Source organism: Homo sapiens, chromosome 17 (genome assembly GCF_000001405.40).
Source record: "Homo sapiens chromosome 17, GRCh38.p14 Primary Assembly".
NCBI classification, from domain to species: Eukaryota; Metazoa; Chordata; class Mammalia; order Primates; family Hominidae; genus Homo; species Homo sapiens.
The window spans coordinates 42,254,516-42,278,481 of NC_000017.11; the positions used below are offsets into that span (position 1 = coordinate 42,254,516).

At 41.2% G+C, this 23,966-nt stretch overlaps 1 protein-coding gene across 6 annotated transcripts in view, besides 1 other annotated feature; it reads right to left on the reverse strand.

Moving 5' to 3' along the window:
- The window catches only part of STAT5B (signal transducer and activator of transcription 5B), an 89,194-nt gene that overhangs the window by 55,339 nt on the left and 9,889 nt on the right, over positions 1-23,966 (reverse strand). For 3 of the 6 annotated variants that reach the window (XM_017024977.2, NM_012448.4, XM_005257626.5), the window contains exon 1: positions 21,733-21,876. The exons of 2 other annotated variants lie outside the window; for them this stretch is intronic. The gene's annotated coding sequence lies outside the window, so the exon portion shown is untranslated. Of the gene's footprint in view, positions 1-13,770; positions 21,119-21,732; positions 21,877-23,966 lie in introns of those variants that run through there. One more of the 6 variants, XM_024450898.2, reaches the window with a different exon arrangement.
- Positions 21,509-22,118: a silencer, noted in NCBI's record as "silent region_8519". NCBI's record gives its function as "represses an Ori minimal core promoter by ATAC-STARR-seq in GM12878 lymphoblastoid cells {active_cell/tissue: GM12878}" and the evidence as "EXISTENCE:reporter gene assay evidence [ECO:0000049][PMID:35858748]".

Consider the following 23,966-nt stretch of genomic DNA (forward strand, 5'->3'; position numbering starts at 1 on the left):
TGTCCTTAAAAAAAAAAAAATTAAGAATATTTCCCCTTCATTTTGGTTCTCTTACTCTCTTTTTCTCTCTCCCTCCAGGTGAACTGCTAGAGAGCTATGATTGTTTCATCTATATTTGGACCCCTAGGGTCAGGCTGTGTCTTCAGCAACTACTCAGAAAAATGAGAATGAAAAAGAAAGAAAAAAGGAAGAAAGAGAGAGAGGGAAGGACAAACTGGAAGGGAAGGGAAGGAAAAGTAGGGAGAAAGGAAGATGTAATGAGAATAGAAAATTTTTAAAAATGGAAAAAAAAAGAAGGTCGGTGCGGTGGCTCATGCCTGTAATCCCAACACTTTGGGAGGCCTAGGCAGGCGGATCACGAGGTCAGGAGATTGAGACCATCCTGGCCAACATGGTGAAACCCTGTCTCTACAAAAAATACAAAAATTAGCTGGGTGTGGTGGCATGCGCCTGTAGTCCCAGCTACTTGGGAGGCTGAGGCAGGAGAACCACTTGAACCCAGGAGGCAGAGGTTGCAGGGAGCCGAGATCGTGCCACTGCACTCCAGCCTGGCAATGGAGCGAGACTCCGTCTAAAAAAAAAAAAGTTTCTTAACTGTCGTTTCTTAATGACACGCAATCAGAACCTCCCCTGCAGCTGAGGTCCCCTGTGGAGAGTATGTCTCATTGTCTGTATAAACAATTACAACAATGTACCTGTAATTTTCCAGTTCATAATCAGGCTGTAAGAATGAGAACAATTTGTTTTATGAAACATGGAGAAAGACTAATCTTTGCTATTACTCTCAGTGCAGGTTTATCAGCAAGACTTGGAGTAGATAAGCCACAGGCATACAGATGAGGAATCACATTTTGAAAGCTTTAATAACTCCCTAGTGGTATGCAACAAGCTGCTGAATTAACTTGTCTTTGCATACTCATTGCACATGCATCACTGGCCAGGTCTAGGTACAAAGCAAAAACTAAACAATCAAAGGAAAGAAAAACTGTGAAGTCTCCAACCAAAAGAATTATGTTGCAAAAAAAGGAATAAACACAAAGGGGCAGATAGTGTATGATTCCACTGATATAAGATGCCTGGAGTAGTCAAACTCATAGAGACAGAAAGAATGAATGGCGGTTGTCAGAGCCTGCGGGGAGGGGCAAATGGAGAGTTTTATTCTCATTACTGTTTAATGAATACAGGATTTTAGTTTAGGATGAAAAAATTCTGGAGATGGACCAGGTGCTGACGGTCACACAACAATGTGAATGTGCTTAATGCCACGGAACTGTACTTTAAAACAGTGAAAATGGCCGGGCACAGCGGCTCGCGCCTGTAATCCCAGCACTTTGGGAGGCCGAGGGCGGTTCACCTAAGGTCAGGAGTTCCAGACCACCCTGGTTAACATGGTGAAACCCCACCTCTACTAAAAATACCAAAATTAGCCAGGCATGGTGGCGTGCACCTGTAATCCCAGCTACTCAGGAGGCTGAGGCAGGAGAATTGCTTGAATCCAGGAGGTGAAGGTTGCAATGAGCTAACCTCCAGCCTGGGTGACACAGAGAAACTCCATCTCAAAATAAAAGGTTAAAAATGGTAAATTTTATGATATATATACGTAACTCCACAATCTTTAAAATGGGGTTAAAAAACCAGTTTTTGCCTAATAAACTCACATTTTTTCTATCTTTAATGCTGAAATCCAAAGGAAACAAAGAGATATTTGCTGTCTCCTCTCTCTTCTCCCCCATCCCCCCAACTTTTTTTGAGACAGCGTCTCACTCTGTGGCCCAGGCTGGTCTCTAACTCATGGGCTCAAGTGACCCTCCTGGCTCAGCCTCCCATAGTACTGGGATTATAGGCATGAGCCACTGCACCCAGCCCCCTCTCTTTTCTTTCTTCCACAGTAAAAGGCACACTTTCAGTCCTTCTGAGGGTTGAAGTTCTCTGGATACACCTGCTGTATTGAGATTAAAGGGGAATACAATAGTCTTTCCTTATCTGAGATTTTGTTTTCTATGGTTTCTGTTACCCACAGTACAGCATAGTAAGATACAGTATTTTAAGATAGACTACATTCGGCCAGGCACAGTGGCTCACGCCTGTAATCCCAGCATTTTGGGAGGCTGAGGCGAGCAGGTCACGAGGTTAGGAGATCGAGACCATCCTGGCTAACATGGTGAAACCCCGTCTCTACTAAACAAAATACAAAAAATTAGCCGGGTGTGGTGGCAGATGCCTGTAGTCCCAGCTACTGGGGAGGCTGAGGCAGGAGAATGGCATGAACCCAGGAAGCAGAGCGTGCAGTGAACGGAGATTGCGCCACTGCACTCCAGCCTGGGTGACAGAGCGAGACTCTGTCTCAAAAAAAAAAAAAAAAAAAAAAAAAAAGACTACATACTTGTTCTATTTTATTATCATTGTTCTTAATCTCTTACTGTGCCTAATTTATAAATTGAACTTTATCATAATTATATATGCATAGGAAAAAACAATATATATATGTAGGGTTCAGTATTACCTGAGGTTTCAGGCATCCCTTGGGATAAGGCAGGACTACTATACTTATTTAACAGATACTTATTGAGTAACTATTACATGTTGGGCTCTGTTCTAGGTACTAAGAATGTGGCAGTGAACAAAACAGACATGCTTTATGTAACTTAGATTCTGGTATGTAATATTAAATACTTTAAAGTTTAAATAAATAATTGTGCCCCTGCTACACTTTCTAGTTTTTGTTTTTATTCTTCTTCTCTTTATTTCTGTTGGGAGAAAACAGATACCACCTGACAATTGAATCTTACAGGTCAATGACAAAGTCTGTGTGTTCAAACCAGTATCTGGGAAGAAGTTTTAAAAGCACCTCCACAACATCAAACAGGGGGATTACTGGCTTTTGTGAAGTCTTGGTGATGCAAAAGCAATTTCTGATAAAACCAGAACATCTGTTCATCCCTGCTGAAAGCCTATCATCTTTATGGAGCTATTGTATGTGCAAAACAAATCGGGTCCAATCAAGGATTCCACAGTTAAGATCATTTCAGTGTGGCATTATTCCAGCTTTGGTCCAGGACATACAGTTTTATTTACAGGATAACTTTCATGATTGCCACAATCAAATCAAATCCTTTGTCTTTCAAAGGTGATTTGCAGATTCAATCTTCACAAAGCACTAAAAATATAGAGCATGGAGTTAAAAATTCACAATGGGACCACACACAAATAGCAGTACAGGGTGGTAGATAGCTAGCCAATGTTTACTTTCTTCTTTTTCCCATAGAATAAAATATAGGTCAAATTCTACTAAAACAACAAATACCACCACAGTGAAAACCTAGGTATAACAAAAATATTTTGAAACACTTAAAAATGTCCATGTGTTTCTTAATCCAACACAATATACTTTTATAGAATCAATATAATGAATTTTATGAGAGTGCTGAATCCTAACCACTAGACAACCAGGGAATTATAATGAATTTTAAATCAAAAGAATGACTCCTTAGAGCATAACAACTTTGTGTCCGCTCTTTAATTTTCATCTTTAGGGACATATTTTAAATATTTCAAAATAGGCTGTCACAGTATATTTGGAAGAAAGGAATTTGTTTCCCTTTATGGAAATCATCCTCAAATGTATTGAGGAATAATTTTACATTCAATAAATTACATCAGGATGTTTCCAATGTTATAATGAACCTACTTTTGGCAACATAGTAAAATAAAGGGGTTCCTAAAGCCCACCCATTAGTAAAAGTTATTGAATATTTTATTTAACATTAAAAGGTCAACTAATTTGGCTTAGATGTCAGGCAATATCCAAAGAAACACAGAAGTTCTAGCCATTTCTTCAAAGGTTCCTTCTGAAATCAGGTATCCTTTAAAAAGACCATTAAGGCTGGGCACGGTAGCTTATGCCTGTAATCCCAGCACTTTGGGAGGCTGAAGCGGAAGGATCACCTGAGGTCAGGAGTTTGAGACCAGCCTGACGAACATGGTGAAACCCTGTCTCTACTAAAAATACAAAAATTAGCTGGGCATGGTGGAACTTGCCTGTAATCCCAGCTATCTGGGAGGCTGAGGCACGAGAATCACTTGAACCTGGGAGACGGAGGTTGCAGTGATCTGAGATCACGCCATTGCACTCCAGCCTGGGAAACAGAGCGAGACTCCGTCTCAAAACAAACAAACAAACAAAACCATTAAGATAAACTAAGTAGGAAGTGGCATTACCTAGATTCCAGAATCTCTGCAAGTCTCCCTTCTGAAGCTCCGTTTGTTCAGTATTCCTCACACAGTGGTGTTACCAGTCATGGTGTGAACTTGGCAGTTTAGGGAGGCTACCACCTCACCTAGGGGGAACTAAAAATGATTCCCCTCCCTTAAGTATCTCCTAAGACTACAGCAAAACTGGGGGGAACTCTCTTTTGAAAGGAAAAATTTCATCTGTAACTAGATCCCCAATTTTAAGCATCAACTTGATGTATTTTATAAAAATGAAGAGTAGCTAAGACCAAAAGGTGAATATGATTCTTTTCTAGACAAATTCAGTTTCAAAAATAAAGTTAAACAACACTCTGAAACAAAACAAAAATAACAAAACACCCTGCCTAAAAGTGATTTGACAGTTGAGGTATACCTGAAACAGGGTGGGCTGTTTATTTTTATTCAGAATTTTGTTTTCAGAGATGGGATCTCACTATGTTGCCCAGGCTGACTTGAAACTCTTGGGCTCAAGCGATCCTCCCACCTTGGCCTCCCAAAGTGTTGGGATTACAGGCGTGAGCCACTGCACCTGGCCAGAGAGGGCTTTTCTACTCCCAAGAAATGAGAGGTCCTCTGAAAGCAGGAGCTTCAAGGACATGGGTAATGCTTCAGCCATGCAAGGATGCAGCAGTTTTCAAACAAGAGGGTGCATCTGTGGGTGTCTGGGTGTGTCTTGGGGGTGAGGGAATGGTAGGAAGCTTTAAGGGCATCACTTTCTTTAGGTAAGAGACACTTTTGTGCTGGGCGCGGTGGCTCACGCCTGTAATCCTAACAGTTTGGAAGGCCAAGGTGGGTGGATCACCTGAGGTCAGGAGTTTGAGACCAGCCTGGCCAACACAGCGAAACCCCGTATCTACTAAAAATACAAAAATTAGCCGGGCGTGGTGGCAGGTGCCTGTAATCCCAGCTACTTGGGAGGCTGAGGCAGGAGAATTGCTTGAACCTGTCGGGGGGAGGCTTCAGTGAGCCAAGATCATGCCACTTCACTCGGCAAAATAGCGAGATTCTGTCTCAAAAAAAAAACAAAAAAGAAAGACACTTTTATTTCCTACAGAGCAGTGGCTTCAGTTCCCACAGGGCAAGAGACCCTATTTGTTTTGTTTTATTTTAAGTTCCAGGATACATGTGCAGGATGTGCAGATTTGTTACACAGGTAAACATGTGCCATGGTGGTTTGCTGCACCAAGCGACCCTATTTGTATTTGTTGATTGTAAGCCAGATGTTATAAAGCAGGAGACAGCCCTATATTTCATTTCCCTTCGTTAGAAGGCCTATAGCCACACTGTTTATTATGGTAGCCTCTAGCAGCATGTGCTACCTAAGCACTTGAAATGTAGCTAGTGCGACTGGGGAACTGAATTGCAAATTTTATCTCATTTGAATTAACTTAAATGTAAACCTGGAAACTGGTGTTCAATTTAATACTTGGAAAACCTTTCAGTACGTTTGGAACACCTTCAGTATGTGAATCTACTTTATCAACTGAAAGTTTTATGAAATCTGAACACAGTTCATGCATTTCTGGTGAAAATTTGGTGGCTAAATTGAGAGATTTTATAACTGTAAGATACACACCAGATTTTGAAGCATTCGTACAAAAAAAGGAATGTAAAATATCTCAGTGTTTTTGTGGGCTTTTGGGTTCGTTTGTTTTTTTTTGAGACAGGGTCTCACTCTGTTGCCCAGGCTGGAATGCAGTAGCACGAACACGACTCACTGCAGCCTTAACCTCCTCGGCTCAAGTGATCCTCCCACCTTGGCCTCCCAAGTAGCTGGGACTATAGGTGCACATCACCATGCCTAGCTAATTTTGTTGTTGTTGTTGTTAGAGACTGGGTCTCACTATGTTGCCCAGGCTGGTCTCGAACTCCTGGACTCAAGTGATCCTCCTGCTTTGGCTCCCCAAACTGGCCCAAAATACCTCATTAATCAATAATTTTTATATTGATCAAATGTTGAAATGATAATTTTTATATATTAAAGTATATTGTTAAAATTAATTTTATTTTTACTTTTTATTGTGATACAGACTAAGAAAATTACAATTGGAGCTCACATTATATTTGTATTGAACAGTGCTGGTCTAGAACATAAATATTCCACATACTGTACACAATTATTGCTTAGTTTCCTAGTTTATATGTCTTACCTTTTTTTTTTTTTTCTTGAGACAGAGTCTCATTTTGTCGCCGAGGCTGAAGTGCAGTGGTGCAATCTCAGCTCACTGCAACATCTGCCACCTGTGTTCAAATGATTCTCCTGCCTCAGCCTCCTGAGACTACAGACATGTGCCACCACGCCCGGCTAATTTTTGTATTTTTAGTAGAGACAGGGTCTCACCAAGCGGGCCAGGCTGGTCTCGACCTCCTGACTCAAGTGGTCCGCCCACCTCAGCCTCCCAAAGTGTTAGGATTACAGGCATAATCCACCATGTATGGCCAGAAAACATAATTTTGAATTAAACGAGATTATCATGTTTTTAGGAAGTAGAGGAGGTAAGAGGTGATAAGCAAAAAATAACCAAAAAGAAGAGAATGATTTATTTATGTAGGCATATTGAACAATATATGTTTATAGTTTTATCTTTAATACAGAAAAACACTTATTTACTTCATGCATTTTAATTAACTACTTTATGGATTTAGGTTTTAAAAGCACTAAAAAGTACTACGTGATTTTTAAAAATGTTTTGGTATTCCCCAAACTGGCTTAAAATAAAATTCTGTTATAGCAATTTCACTATAATAAATTACAATGCACAATCCAAGTTAAGATAGATTTTTTATTTTTTATTTTTATTTATTTATTTTTGAGACAGGGTCTCACTCTGTCACCCAGGCTGGAGTGCAGTGGTGCAATCTCAGCTCACTGTAACCTCTGCCTCCTGGGCTCAAGCCATCCTCCCACCTCAGGCTCCCAAGTAGCTGGGACTACAGGCACACACCACCACGTCTAGCTAATTTTTGTATTTTTATAGAGATGAGGTTTCACCATGTTGCCCAGGATACTTTTGAACCCCTGGGCTCAAGTGATGAGCCCACCTCAGCCTTCCAAAGTGCTGGGATTAAAGGCATGGGCCACCATGCCCAGCCAGATTTTTTTCTAATATAAAAATAAAGATGGGATCTCATTACGTTGTCCAGGCTAGTCTCGAACTCCCGGCCTCAAGCAATCCTTCCCCCTCAGCCTCCCAAAGTGCTAGGATTACAGATGTGAGTCATCTCACCTGGCCTAAAATAGATTTTTACTTAATTAAATTTTACATGAAATAAGTAAGTCTACTGGGCTCAAAATTGTCTATTTTTAAGGTTGTAATTTTATTTAAATTCTCTTAAAGTATCAACTCATAATTTACTTTCATTCCTCTTCTTTAAACTCTGTCAAGTGTTAAAATTCTTTTATTTTTATTCTGAGACAGGGTCTTTCTCTGTCACCCAGGCTAGAGTACAGTGGAGCGATCACAGCTCACTGTATCCTCCACCTCCCAGGCTCAAGCAATCCTCCGACCTCAGCCTCCTGAGTAGCTGGACTATAGGCATACACCAGCACCCCGTGCTAATATTTTTATTTTTCGTAGAGATGGGGTCTTGCTATGTTGTCCATGCAGGAAAATTCTTTTAAACACTAATTCTAGTTACAAAGAAACTATTTAATGTAAATTTAATTAAGGCAGAACATAAATCTCTGGTATTAGGAATGACTTATACCCAAGAGAAAATATCTTTCACTAGAGATTTCCTTTACCAGATATTCCCAAATGAGTACCATAATAAACATTTAGAGAAGTCATTAAGTGTGACTAATGGAATTATAAGAAAAAGAAATCCATAGCCTAGCAGCCTTCATAGGTATCACCATGAAGGGGAAAAGCCAATGCAGAAAATATATTGAAATAATACAAAGTTCAGGGTTAAAACAAACTCAACCATTTTTTTCAAAACATCTTCAATATGAAATGAATAACTTAGCAGAGTGTGTATATATATGTGTGTATATATATACATATATGTATATATATACACATATATATGTGTGTATATATACACACATATATATGTGTATATATACACACATATATATGTATATACACACATATATGTGTGTGTATATATACACATATATATGTGTGTATATATATGTGTATATATATGTGTGTATATATATATGTATATATATGTGTGTGTGTGTGTGTGTGTGTGTGTGTATATATATATATATATATATATATATATATATATATATATATATAAAAAAACAAAAACAATTTTTTTTTTTTTTTAAAGAGAGACAGGGTCTCTGTCCATTGCCCGGGCTTGGGAGTGCAATGGCACCATTATAGCTCACTGCAGCCTCCACTTCCCAGGTTCAAGCAATCCTTTCACCTCTGTCTCCCTAACAATTTATTATATTATATAACAATATAATTCTCCATAAGCTTCTGTGTAAAAATATACAGGCTACCACGAAGCACAGGAAATAACACAGTCCTGAAGTTCAAATTATTTAAACTCTAAAAATGTTAAATGAAATTATGATGATTTTAACATAGTTCAACAAAAGATGTCAAAAAACAGGATACTATACCAAAAAATTAACAAAAACATCACAAACTCTTTTTTCTGCTTCTAAAAAGAAAACACTGATAACAAAAAACAAATTCTACGTTCTAAGACATATCAATACACACAGCCATTTTAAAGATAACTTTTTTTTCCTGATTACAAAAGGATTCCCTGTATTATCATCTGTTTTTTTGTTTGTTTTTATTTGTTGTTTTTGAGACAAGGTCTCACTCTGTCACCCAGGACGAATGCAGTGGCTCAATCACAGCTCATTGCAGCCTCGAACTCCCAGGCTCAAGTGATCCTCCTACTTCATCTTCCCAAGTAGTTGAGACCACAGGCATGTGCCACCAGGCCCAGCTAATTTTTTAATTTTTTGTAGAGATAGGGTCTTGCTATGTTGCCCAGGCTGATCTTGAACTCCTGGACTCAAGTGATCCTCCCACCTCAGCCTCCCAAAGTGCTGGAAATATAGGCATGAGTCACTGTGCCCAGCCATAATCTGTTTATTATAGAAAAATGGAAAGATACTAGAAAGCGCGCACACACACACACACACACACACACACACACACACACACAGGGAACTCCACGACCCAGAAGAAATCTTTTTTCAGCGCCTGTTCTTTTTTCCAGGCACAATTGTATATGATTGTTTGTAATTTCATTTTTCATTTAGTAATATATAGTGAATTTTGTGTAGGTCATTAAATATTGTTTTATAACATAATTTAAATAGCTGGACAGTATTCTATTGGACAGCTATACACAGGTGTAATAAATGATTTAGTTTATTAAACCTCTAATGGAAATACCAAGATTTTTCCAATTTATTGCTATTTTAAGTAACACTCCTTTTGTACAAATCTTTTTTTTTTAATTTATTTATTATTATACTTTAAGTTTTAGGGTACATGTGCACATTGTGCAGGTTAGTTACATACGTATACATGTGCCATGCTGGTGTGCTGCACCCACTAACTCGTCATCTGGCATTAGGTATATCTCCCAATGCTATCCCTCCCCCCTCCCCCCACCCCACAACAGTCCCCAGAGTGTGATGTTCCCCTTCCTGTGTCCATGTGTTCCCATTATTCAATTCCCACCTATGAGTGAGAATATGTGGTGTTTGGTTTTTTGTTCTTGCGATAGTTTACTGAGAATGATGATTTCCAATTTCATCCATGTCCCTACAAAGGACATGAACTCATCATTTTTTATGGCTGCATAGTATTCCATGGTGTGTATGTGCCACATTTTCTTAATCCAGTCTATCGTTGTTGGACATCTGGGTTGGTTCCAAGTCTTTGCTATTGTGAATACTGCCGCAATAAACATACGTGTGCATGTGTCTTTATAGCAGCATGATTTATAGTCCTTTGGGTATATACCCAGTAATGGGATGGCTGGGTCAAATGGTATTTCTAGTTCTAGATCCCTGAGGAATCGCCACACTGACTTCCACAATGGTTGAACTAGTTTACAGTCCCATCAACAGTGTAAAAGTGTTCCTATTTCTCCACATCCTCTCCAGCACCTGTTGTTTCCTGACTTTTTAATGATTGCCATTCTAACTGGTGTGAGATGGTATCTCATTGTGGTTTTGATTTGCATTTCTCTGATGGCCAGTGATGGTGAGCATTTTTTCATGTGTTTTTTGGCTGCATAAATGTCTTCTTTTGAGAAGTGTCTGTTCATGTCCTTCGCCCACTTTTTGATGGGGTTGTTTGTTTTTTTCTTGTAAATTTGTTTGAGTTCATTGTAGATTCTGGATATTAGCCCTTTGTCAGATGAGTAGGTTGCGAAAATTTTCTCCCATTTTGTAGGTTGCCTGTTCACTCTGATGGTAGTTTCTTTTGCTGTGCAGAAGCTCTTTAGTCTAATTAGATCCCATTTGTCAATTTTGTCTTTTGTTGCCATCGCTTTTGGTGTTTTAGACATGAAGTCCTTGCCCATGCCTATTTGTACAAATCTTTAAACATATTTCAGATGTCCTAGAATGAAATTCATCTAAATGAAACTGCTAAGTCAAAGGGTATGTACTCTTCTTTTTTTTTTTTGAGACGAAGTCTCGCTCTGTCACCAGGCTGGAGTGCAGTAGTGTGATCTCGGCTCACAGCAACCTCTGACTCCCTGCCTCAGCCTCCCGAGTAGCTGGGATTACAGGCACGTGCCACCATGCCCAGCTAATTTTTGTATTTTTAGTAGAGACGGGGTTTCACCATGTTGGCCGGGATGGTCTTGAACTCCTGACCTCGTGATCCGACTGCCTTAGCTTCCCAAAGTGCTGGGATTACAGGCCTGAGCTCCCATGCCCAGCTTGAGTATGCACTCTTTTAAGCTCTCAATACATGTATCAAACTGCCATCCAAAAAAAGCACCCATTTACATTTCAACCAATGAGTATGAAAGTGCCAGTTTCCCACATTCCCAAGCAACACTGCTCTTATTTTTCAATATTTTTAGTCTTCATAAATCTGTTAACTGAAAAAACTTGTCATTTTTATTTGCATTTCTTGATTTCCAGTATGGGTGAACACTGTTTCATATGATTATCGGCTATTTGTAGTTCTTCTTTTGTTCATTTTCTATTATGGGAATCATCTTTTTCTTACTACTTATATAGATTACTTATATATTACGAATATTTACCCATAATGCTTTGTCATATATATTAGAAATATTTTTCTTATTTTGTCACTTAGCTTTGGTTTCTGGCATTTTTTGGCATAAAGAAGTTTTAAATATTTATGTATACATATAAAAAGACATATGTGTATCTATAAGATGTATCTTCTTTTATTAGTTATTAAAGCCACTTATATCCTGTTCAAATTTACCAATAAAACTGGAATGTAATGTTAAGTTCTGTGCAAACTAGACCTCTTCACATTTGGGTAATAAAAATTCAAAACTAGCCAGGCTCAGGGGCTCACACCTGCAGTCCCATCTACTCTGGAGGCTGAGGTGGGAGGATCACTTGAGCTCAGGACTTTGAGACCAGCCCGGGCAACATAGTGAGACCCCACTCTTTAAAAAATAATAATAATAAATTAAAATAATAAATAAAATTCAAAACCATAAATTTTGAGAATATCACATTTTTGGACAAAATTTTAAATGTGTGTCTAAAGTAATACGTTTTCTTACTTAAGGACCCACTCCTGGCACACTTCACTCATCCTGGGCAACAGAGCAAGACACTGTCTCAAAAAATAAAAAAAAAAAAAAAAAAATCATTCCCTTAAAATTATATGCTTTTTGGCCCGGTGCAGTGACTCATTCCTGTAATCCCAATACTGTGGAAGGTTGAGGTGGGAGGTGTGGAGGTGGAGGTGGGAGGGATCACCTGGAGACATAGCAAGACCCCTGTCTCTATTTTTTTTTAACTATGTGCATTTTTCTGGTATTGCAAAGTCAAGGGATCTTGCCTCATCACCAACTCAGCATGTGAATTGTAGCCATGCCACTCAGGAAGCCAAATATTTTCTATTTTGTTTTGATACCTTCAACATGAGGAGAAAGGCCAATCTCTTCATACATTACAATGAAATTAGTATTTTTACTTGATATTTAAACTCACTGCAAGATAAACTCATTTGTAAAACATGACTACACTCAGAGTTTCCATATATGTAGTCAGGCACCACATAATGACGTTTCAGTCAATGACAGACCACATATATCACTGTGGTCCCATAAGATAATAAAACGTAGCTGAAAAATTCCTATCCTCTAGTGACGCTGTAGCCATCATAATGTTGTAATGCAATGCATGACTCACATGTTTGTGGCAATGCTGGTGTAAACAAACCCACTGCACTGCCAGTCATGTGAAAGTCTAGCACATACAATTGCGTGCAGTACATACTTGATAATGATAATAAATGCCTATGTTACTGGTTTATGTATTTACCATACTTTTTATCGTTATTTTAGAGTGTACTCCTTCTACTTAAAAAAAAAAGTTAACTGTAAAACAGCCTCAGGCAGGTCCTTCAGGAGGCATTGTTATCACAAGAGATGACAGCTCCATATGTGTTACTGCCCCTGAAGACCTTTCAGTGGAACAAGATGTGGAGGTGCAAGACAGTGATACTGATGACCCTGACCCTGTGTAGGCCTAGACTAATGTGTGTGTTTATGCCTTCACTTTTAAGAAAAAGTTTTTAAAGTTTTGAAAAATTAAAAAGTTTTTAAAGTTTTGAAAAATTAAAAATTATTTAAAAAGAGAAAAAGTAAAAGAATAAAAACATAAAGAAAATATTGTTGCACAGCTGTACATGTTTATGTGTTAAGCTAAGTGTTACTACAAAAGAGTTTAAAAGTGTAAAAAAGTAAACAGTTGGCCGGGCACGGCGGCTCACACCTATAATCCGAGCACTTTGGGAGGTCAAAGTGGGTGGATCACCTGAGGTCAGAAGTTTGAGACCAGCCTGGCCAACATGGTGAAACCCCGTCTCTACTAAAAATACAAAAATTAGCCAGGCGTGGTGGCACACGCCTGTAATCCCAGCTATTCGGGAGGCTGAGGAAGGAGAATTGCTTGAACCGGGAGGTAGAGGTTGCAGTGATCCGAGATCACGCCACTGCACTCCAGCCTGGGCCACAAGAGCAAGACTCCATCTCAAAAAAAAAAAAAAAAAGTAAAAAGTTTACAAAGTAAAAGTATTACAGTAGGCTAAGGTTATTATTGAAGAAAGAAACAATTTTCAAAATACATTTAATGTAGCCTAACCAGACAGTATTTTTAAAATCTACAGTAATGTACAGTAATGTCCTAGGCCTTCACATTCACTCACCATTCACCCACTGAGTTGCCCAGAGCAACTTCCAGTCCTGCAAGCTCCATTCCTGTTAAGTACCCTATATAGATGTACCATTTTTTATCCTTTATGCCATGTTTTTACTGTAACTTTTCTATATTTAGATATGTTTAGATACACAAATACTTACCCTTGTGTTACAATTGTCTACAGTACTCAATACAGTATACATGTTCCACAGGTTTGTAGTCTAGGAGCAATAGGCTTTATCATACAGCCTAGGTGTGCAGTAGGGCTCACCATCTACGTTTGTGTAAGTACCCTCTATGATGGTACCACAATGACAAAATCGCCTAATGCATTTCTTAGAACTTTGTCACCATGTATCATTAAGTGACAAACGACTATAGTTACGTAACAATAACCAAAGAAAAATACAAAAAGAGGGACTATTTACATTGTATCCTTACATATTAAACCTTCCATGCCTTCGGAATAAGAATCTAGTATCCAGTTCTCACTATACATAGCTTTCCCTCACTTTCTATCAGAAATGAGATAGGAGTCCCACCTTCCTGGCATCAGAAACAGATCACCAATCCTGCAAACAAATTCACAGGGTGAACTGTTTCATTTTTAAAGAGCTGTAGATTTCTGTAGATCTCTAATTTGCTACTTTTCCTAAACCTAAAAGATGACCAAAAGATTTTTAGAAACATTAAACAAAAAAACAGAATTAGCATTATTTCTAACAGAACATTTTACCTATTTAAATATACTGTAGAATGAATGCTATATTACAAAGCTGATGAATTCCAATTTTTAGTACTTTAAGAGATCAAGTGTTCAAGTTTCTTTTTATATAGGCTACAATGACATGTATGAATGTAACTTAACATTTAGCCCAGGTTAGATTTTTTAAAATCCCACTCCTTCAAAAACAGTGACTTGCCACCAGCTATAGGCTCTGAATTTATTTAATTTATTTATTTTTTTGAGATGGAGTCTCGCTCCGTCTCCCAGGCTGGAGCACAGTAGTGCGATCTCGGCTCACTGTAACCTCTGCCTCCTGGGTTCAAGTGATTCTTCTGCCTCAGCCTCCTGAGTAGCTGGGATTACAGGCGTGCACCACCACACCTGGCTAATTTTTGTATTTTTAGTAGAGACAGGGTTTCACCATGTTGGCCAGGCTGGTCTCCAACTCCTGACCTCACGTGATCCGCTTGCCTCGGCCTCCCAAATTGTTAGGATTACAGGCGTGAGCCACTGGGCCCGACCTAGGCTCTGAATTTTAGACAACAAAAAATAGTTTCTCACAAACTTTTTAACTTACTCTCACCTAAAGGCTGGAAAACCCCAGTGAAGGCTTTTAAAACTCATCAGACATAGAAAAAAAGAAGCAGCTTTAATTGTAGGATCTCACTGACACAAACATAAGGAAATTCTGAGTTATAGATACCTCACATTAAGCTTTTTCCACTGACATTGTAACTTCTGTCAACATTCAAAGAAAATTCAACCCTGGTCAAAGGTGACAGTTGACAATCCTGGAAGCTAACATCCTCTGTTTATTTGAACAAGTTTATACTCTGCACAGGGAATTGAAGTTCTTCTTGTCTGTGACTTGATCTCCCAAAGTTAAAGCACTACGCTTTAGGGTTGTGAATTCTGTTTCCAAGACTTAACTTCACAATCCACTCCCAAGGAAAAGTGCTGAGAGAAAGTAAGCATCATAAATGAAAAAAAAAAAAAAATCTGAGACTATTTTCTAATGGCCTTTGCAGAGCTCTAGACATACAATAGTTCAGTTGCCTTAAAAATTCGCCCAAATAGGCTGGGCATGGTGGCTTATGCCTGTAATCCCAGCACTTCGGAAGGCCAAGGCAGGAGGATCACCTGAGGTCAGGAGTTCGAGACCAGCCTGGCCAACATGTCAAAACCCCGTCTCTACTAAAAATACAAAAATTAGCTGGGCATGGTGGCACATGCCTGTAGTCCTAGCTACTCCGGAGGCTGGGCAGGAGAATCTCTTGAACCCAGGAGACGGAGGTTGCAGTGAGCCAAGATCGCGCCACTGCATTCCAGCCTGGGTGACAGAGCGAGGCTCTGTCTCAAGAAATAATAATAATAAATTAGCCCAAATAAGTAAAATTCTTAAATCTGTCTCAGAAATCATGACTAATGCTCTAAAAAGCTTTAATGCAACAAGAATAGGACAGAAATCCCCGCAAAATAAAGTTGTAAATAAAATGAGTGGGATTGTTGAGTTCTCAGTACAGACGTGCATGTCAACACAAACCCACTACATTGGCACAAATGATCCCTTTGTTTGTAAACAGAGGCCAAGGAGACAGCTTATAGCTCTTCTTCTATGATGTACACGGTAATGCTAGGGGAAGAAGAATGAAAGACAACTTATAATAAAAATTAAGACTTTCTCTTCTTTAATATAATTTCCACCAGAAGTATATACTTTAATTGGAAAAATATTTATCACCATCTTCATCAACATTTAAAAAAATCCTAAACATATAAAAATATTTTCTATTCAAAAACCAACGAGACTCCATTTGGGAACACAAAGAAATACAAGCCTCAAAGAAACAAAATGTCTTATAACAAAGTGGCAGTGGCCAGCTCGCTTTTGCTGTACACTAGTTAGGGATGCAGTCTCTGGAATCAGCCCCGCCAAGAACAGTAATGTGACCTTGGACAAATTACTTAACTTCTCTGTGGCCATTTCTTCATCTTCCATCTGGGAATAATACCCACTCCTCTGAGAATCACGAGTTAACACAAGGCCAGAGCTGAAAACAATGTCTGCCCAGCACACTGTCAGTGAACGGTAAGCATTAGGTAATGTTTTTATTATCTTCACACTTGAAGGCGTTGGAACATTTTCTCAAACTCTGGGTTTTGAACATAATTTGAAGGACTTGTTAATTGTCTGCTCACCTCTCGAAAGGTGGCATCATAATGATTAGATACATAATCAGAATATCTTCCCAGGTGAGCCATGGTAAGCAGAGCTCTAGCCCAGAATGATGAATAGTTATTTTTAATACAAATCATGGATGTGGCTGTTACTGGCAACTTCGGCCTGATTTCCCATATGCAAAGAAATCCCCTACCAGGGGAAAACAAGCAATGTTAGAAACCCGTTGGGTTTGTCCTGTTATCATTACAGGGTAAAGCCAAATTCACATTTAGTAGCCTGATGGGCATTAAAAATATTAGTCACCAAATTAATCCCAACAAATAACAATAATTGATTGGCTCATTGATGTATTTCCCCTTGTCTTCCCCAACCTTTCTCTAACTAGTCAGAAAGGAAAGTTTTCATATTTTCTGAGAATCTCATTACTGCTCTCAAACCATGCTCTATATCTTAGTATAATTTAAAAAATGAGTCAGCACAAGCACCTCAGAAAACTAGCATAGAATATGAAGCTACTTCTCTTCATATTAGAAAAGTACAAAAATTTTTAAAAGGTTATTCAGGGTACCAAAGGTAATAGAAGGATACATGAAGAGTGAATGTTGCAGTAGATTTTGCAAGCTAGCTTCCAAAAGTAGGTAGAAAAAGATAAATGTTCTTCATCAATCAATCAATACAGGTATTCATCATCTCAGTGGTGTCATCCATGTGAAAATGGACATAGTTATTAAGAATAAACCTAAAGAAGAAACCATCTTGTATGTGACAAATTATAACTTCTCCTTTCTTGAATATTGGGGCAGCAGGGGAATAGGAAGTCAAGATACTCCAAGTATTAACTTCATTTGCAAATTGAATTGTACATAATTGTGCACCATGCTAATGCAATACTGCTTTTAGTAATGGGATCCAAATGAAAATTTAGAAGAGGTAAACTCCCCCTAAACTGCAAACACATCTGAATGTCAATTCAATTAGGAGTCTATTTAGTTATTACACTTCTTAGCATAAAGCGAGTTAAAGGCCAGGAAAAGAACACTTGCTTTAATCACTGAAACAATCTACACATATTTCTCAAGGCTCCACTTAACTCATCCTGCAACATTTATATTAAAAGTGACCTATCACTTAAGTGATCCAGGAGAGTAAAGGAAGAGTTTTAAGGCTGAAGGTGATTCCTCCTGAGCTCTAATACCATACCCTGAATTTCACCTTGTTCTTAACTCTTTTCCATGACACTGTGTATGGCTTTTAAGCGAGTCCAGAAAAACGGCTATCATTACTACTTAATATAAACCATGGGGTTCTGTATCATGTAAACCCAGAGCAACTCCTCTTTGAAGCACCGACATTCAAGGCTCTACATAACATGTTTCAACTCTATCTTAGTGCTATACATTTTCCAAGTACCTGCGAGGAAACAGATAGCAGCACCTCCATTTTTCTGTAAATTGTGCTTTTGTTGCTGTTCTAAGACTCCTTCCAAGGCTGTTAAACTTTGAAGAGAGTTGGGAAAAGACAAGAACATCTTGCCTTCCCGATTGGGTATTCAGGCTTCACTCAGTAAAGCTGTCATGAAGTAGCGCAAAGGGTCAGAGACAAACCACATGGCATCTGATGTTTGTCTGTATAAGTTTAAAATAAAAATGTGACACTACAAGAAGGTTAACATGTGGACCTAATTTTGAAAATACAAACAGGAAGCACCCCCACCCCAATATTACCATTTAAAAAAAAAGGAAACCAAACCTCAAAGATACCTTCCAAGGAAGTGATGGGTGTGACCCAAACTAACAAAAGTAATAAAACGTCACTTCAACTCTGAAACCATCAAAAGTGAGGGTCTCATTCAACCAACTAAAAATCTAACACCTGTAAATTGCTCTTCTCTTTTGATTAGTAAAAACAGCATAGATTTAGATGTGCAAAATCTTCTCCAAACTGACATAGGCTTTTCAGTAGCAGAGGATCATCATTAATAAAACACCCAATGTCAAGATTTTACTTCAAATAAGGCCACTATAATTAACAGTGAATACAATTTTAAAAAGTATTTATCACTCTGATGCTTAGAACTTAAATTTAAGTACAAAAACTGTCTGATCAATGGAAACTAGATTGTTAAGTTTGACTTTCTTATTCCCAGAAATAAGCATAAAACTGTTGTGTTTCCAACACTGCAGGAGAAAAAAAAAAACTTCTGATTTTAGAAGAGTTCTATTCACAAAGCTCAGAATTAAAAACATTTTCTTCCTTTAAATACCACACATTTGAGGACAGCGATAGTGCAGAGCTAACTTTGAAGCATTATTTTTATTAAGTTGCACAGTTAAAGTATTTTGATACTTTGATATTTTATAGTATCAAAATAAAAGGATATTCTTCTCAAGAGTCCAGTAACCTGGAATTGCCAGATAGCTTTTTAAACGAATAAGTTTCAAATTATCAGAAAAATCATACAAACTAGGGTTATTTTGCTTCCTTTTGTAGGAATAATGCAGTAATCTGCACTCTTAACAGAAAGGGAAAAAATGTGTCACAGATAGAATGTCCAGAAATCTGTGAATAACTTTATGAGATACAGACATTTTTGTAGGGCACGAAAATAGTTAGGCTTCCTTCGATTCCACCTGTAACCTGCATCTAATCTTGAGCATGTTATTTACCTATCTATAACGTCTTCCTTTTACAATAAGACTACCTGTGTCACCTACCTACATAACAACAAGCCAAATAAACCACAACAAATGGATTCATAATATATAAGCCTAACAAAAATTACAGACAATTTGAATACTAACAATACTATGATTTGAAAAAACTCGACTTAAGTATCAAAAAGTAATAAATGGCAACTTTAGTCTTGATGTGGCTTTTACATATGTAAATGACATAAAAACAATCAAGAGAGGAAGAAAATGGAGATGAGATGAAAAGTCAGAGCAGGATAGGAAGTGTTGACCAAAATATTTATGTTGTAACACTCCAAACGATGATAGCACATTTTTCTCCTACAATCATACATACTATGAAGTACACACCTTAAATTTCTGAACACAATCCATATTAATATCCCGTGGGCAAAAAATACAAGCACCGAAAAGGTGAGAACTGATGAGAAGGTGGGATAGTTTACCTAGTTGGGTATATAGCAAAGATTATTTTGTGCAGAGTTTAGCTTCAAGTTATGCAATAACCAAACTACTGGTGATAGAAATCAACTTTTTTTTTCTGATGGTTTGCTTTACAAAAAAAAAAAAAAAAAAAAAAAAAACCTCTCCATTCCTTCCCTGTGTCTCAATCTGGAGCTTGAAATTTCATCTTCCAGAGGCTACAGTAGCAAACAAGTCATCTCCTAGATAACGCGCTTACCTGACCCAAGGTGTGGACTTGTTTGAATTAAACGTAACAGATACCACAAATTGTCACATAGGAAGTTTTTCTTAAAATCAGCAGCCCCTTCTCTTATTTAGCCATGTCCATTCTAACAACTGTGATCTTCCATGAGATGGAAACTGGTACCCAAATGAATAAACAAAACAACCCAAAGCCTTAAAATAAAATCAATCAATAAGATTCTCCCCATTTGAAGTGATCAGAACCACTCCAATATTTACAGTGTTACAAAATGAAATTTTAAAACATGAAAGGCACACTCAATAAAATACATCCTCACCTAGGAACTCACAGGCAATGAACATAACGCAATATAACATAAGCAAATGGACAACAATAGAATGTTGGGGAGAGAGGCACAGTTCTATTACCTTAATTGAAAGATAACAAAATTATTTGAAATAATGTAGACCCAACAGCTGAAAGCTTATTATGGCCCAGGCGGCTATCCAACAGCTTTGGAAACCTAAGATCCAAGCAGACCATAAACACCACTTGAAGACTGAAAAAAATGACATAAGCCCAAGTATGATATTCAGTGTCACGCTGGCCCTTTCAAAGGGCATTCCCTGAGGACACTGCAGAGAAAATGTATGGAATTGTATCTAGGCAAAGATCTGTATACTGCACGATGCTTTGGGAAGAGCACGAATCTCAGAGTCCTTGAAGTTTCAATCCCTGGATACTCAACAAACAGCCGTGTCACCTGAGCAGGCCACTTACTCCACCTATCTGGGCCTCAGTTTCCTCATTTGTACAATAAAAGAATGGCATCATCGCTGGGTTCCTTTCCAGCTCTAACATTCTTTGACCCACTTTTGGCACTATTTATTTGATACGAGGTATGGCGGGATCACAGGGACCAAGAAGAAAAGAACTGACTCTGGCTCTTTGGCAAAGAGAGAATCGGTATCTCTTTTAGTCTTTAAAATTCTTGTGCTTTTCATTAATCCCGTCTTTCTAAAAGCTGACACTTGGTTTTCTTCTTTGGCTTTTCCATCACTGCTGGCTACAAGTGTTTGCAACCGCCTCTTGCTCCGTGTGAGTTCTTTCCTCTTTGTTCACCCCGACCATCTTGCCAGATTCCTTTAGCCTCAGACCAGCTTTTGTGATACAACTCCCCTTCCGACTCTCCATATCTACCCCCCGACACCAGGAGCACTTTTAACCCTTTATCCCTGACTAGAAAGAAAAAGCACACTGCATCCCACGGCCACACGCACGAGCCCAGGCCTGGCGGGTCCTGATGTGGGATCCCGCCCCCCAGAGTCTTATCGAAACGTTCGTATTTGTTGTCTTGATTCCTTATAAGGCCCTGTTTCTTGAAGCTTTGCTAATACCCCCCACCGCACCAGGCACCCCCGCAGGCTCATCCCATCCCCGGAGTCCCGGGAACCTCTTTTGAAAGAAAGAAGTTAAAGCAAGGAAGACGGCTGGGGATATTCGGAATTGCAACGTGAAGGTGTGAGGCGGCTGACAGCAGCCCCCTGAGCTCCTATGGGGTCGGCGCGGGGTCCCCACACACCCACTCAGCACACGCGCACGCAGCCTTTAAAGCGCACGCCCCCCGCGGCGCCGCGGCGTTCGCAAGTCCCCCTCGCGCACCCCGCATTGCCCTCAGCCTCCCCGGCAGCCAACCCGGACCCCCTCTCCCCGCGCGCGCCCCTCGCCCAGCGCGCAACCACCGCGGCCCGGGAGTGATGGCGGCGGCGCGGCCCTGACGGGCGGCTGAGCGGCTGGAGCGCGGGCCCCGCCCGGGCTGGCTCCCCGGCCTGGCTCCCCCGGCCCCGGGCCCAGGGCTCGCCCCGCAGCTCCTACCTCGCTCGGCCCCTCGGGCGCCCGCGGCTGCTCCGGCCCAGCTGTCTGGCTTGCCCGCCCGCCCGCTCGCTCCCTCCCTCGGCCGGGCCGCCGCGCGGAGTTGCCTGCGCTGGGTCCCCGCCCGGGGTGACGGCTCCGGCCGCCGACTCTCCTCCCGCCGGGGCCCGCGGGGGCGCGCGCGCCGCTCACGCGCGGAGGCCCAGGGACGCGCGCCGCTGGCAACCCGGAGCGCGCCCCGCTTCCTGGTTCCGCCCGGCGCGCGCTCGCTAGCCCGCTGTCCCTCGCGCCCCCTCCGCGACCGCCCTTGAAGGACCCGGACCCCCTCGGCACACCCGAGGTGGCGGCGCGCTCGGCGGTGCCGGTGCCGGCGCCGCGCGCACCCCCTTTCTGCGGCGGTGGGGTGTCTTCCCGGCTCGGCTCCCTAGCCGACGCCGCACCGCAAGCACATGCTGCTTTGTTTGGGTTGGGTCGACCACCACTAGCAGGGCTAGGGCGCACTGTCGTGGTCGTTTTGGTTGGCCCCCTCCGCGGCCCGCCCACCTCTCTCCCTGGGAGCCCAGGCCCGCGTTCCGGGTCCTCTCCCGCCGAGGCCGAGGTCAGAAGTCCACAGGGGCCCCGATCAATAATTATCCTGGGTTTGCCCCCGGGAGGGCGTCTCAGCCAGGGCTCCTGCCGCCTGCATGGGCACGGCAGGAATTCACATTCGCCCAGGCCGAATTCACCTGTCCGAGTTCCAGGGTGAACCTACGGGGGACGGGGCGCCTGGGGCCGGTTCCCTTCCTGGGAAAATCTGGCTGGCTCCCACCAGTCAGAGCTGCGGGAGGGACTGCTCTCTCTAGAGAAGAAAGAATAAACAGGGTCATCTGTAGGATCCAGGGGAAGGGGGTCCCCCAGATCCTTTCCACGTGCTGAGGAGGGGGTTGCGGTTGTGGGAAGCCAGGCTGAGTCACCCACTCTCCTTTCCTCTGCTACGTCTATCTCCCGGAGCTGGCCAGCGGTTTCCCTGGCAACCCTCCAAGGGCTAGCACTAAAGCAAGACATAGGAAAGCTCCAGAAGCCAAGCTGCAGGGGCCAAAAGAGAGAGAAGGACCCCTCCCGCCCCCACTCAGACACACAGAGCTCCCCTGTGTGTATGCAAAACGTTCATGTCCAGAGATGGCCCAGAGCTGCAAGTTCTCCCATAGTCCTCCCTGGGCAGCTCTTTCCAGCGGCCTTCTCTTCACCTCCAGAATGACACCAGCCACAAAGGTCTCCAGCTGGTCAAAAAACCCTTCTCCGCTACCCAGGCCACTGCTGCAGTCCCATACTCTGGGCCAACACCTGGCACAGTGCTTTGCACAGAGTAGGTTCAGGGAGCTTGGAGGCCAGAGAAGGAAGCAGGAAGCAGGATGGATGCGCCAACCAACCCCGAGCTCTCTGGCAATCTCCCTGACAGTTACTGCCCATGATGTTTTGACACTCAGGTGCTCCATGTTCTCCATATTTCTCTTTTATCTTTTCTTTTTCTTTTCTTTTTTTTTTTTTTTGAGACGGAGTCTCTCTCTGTTGCCCAGGCTGGAGTGAAATGGTGCGGTCTCAGCTCACGGCAACCTCCACCTCCTGGGTTCAAGTGATTCTCCTTCCTCAGCCTCCTGAGTAGCTGGGATTACAGGCGCACACCACCACATCCGGCTAATTTTTGTATTTTTGTAGTAGAGACGGGGTTTCACCATGTTGGCCAGGCTGGTCTCGAACTCCTGACCTCGTAATCTGCCCGCCTCAGCCTCCCAAAGTGCTGGGATTACAGGCATCAGCCACCGCACCTGACTCATGTTTCTCTTTCTTGTGAGCTTTCATCCCTGCACACATGCTATTCCCTCTGCCTGGAATGTCCTGCCTTCTTGATGTCTGCCCTTCGGTGACATTTGCTTCAGGCAGCATGACCTCCCTCCTTGTTTCCCACCGCGTTATTCATGCCTCTATTACAGCACTTCTTGTGTTGAAGGACAATTTCATGTTTTCATGTTTCTGTCTCTGTCCCCAAGGGCAGACGCAATATGCTATTCACTTTTAAATCCTCCTACTCGTGTTCAAGCCCAGAACAGACACTCAATAAATATTTTTGGAACAAATGCTATGCTCTAGGAATGCAAATGGAGGTTACAAGGACTATGCAGTCATTAAGAGGACAGGGTCTAGCCCGGTGTGGCGACACACACCTGTGGTCCCAGCTACTGAGGAGGCTAAGGTGGGAG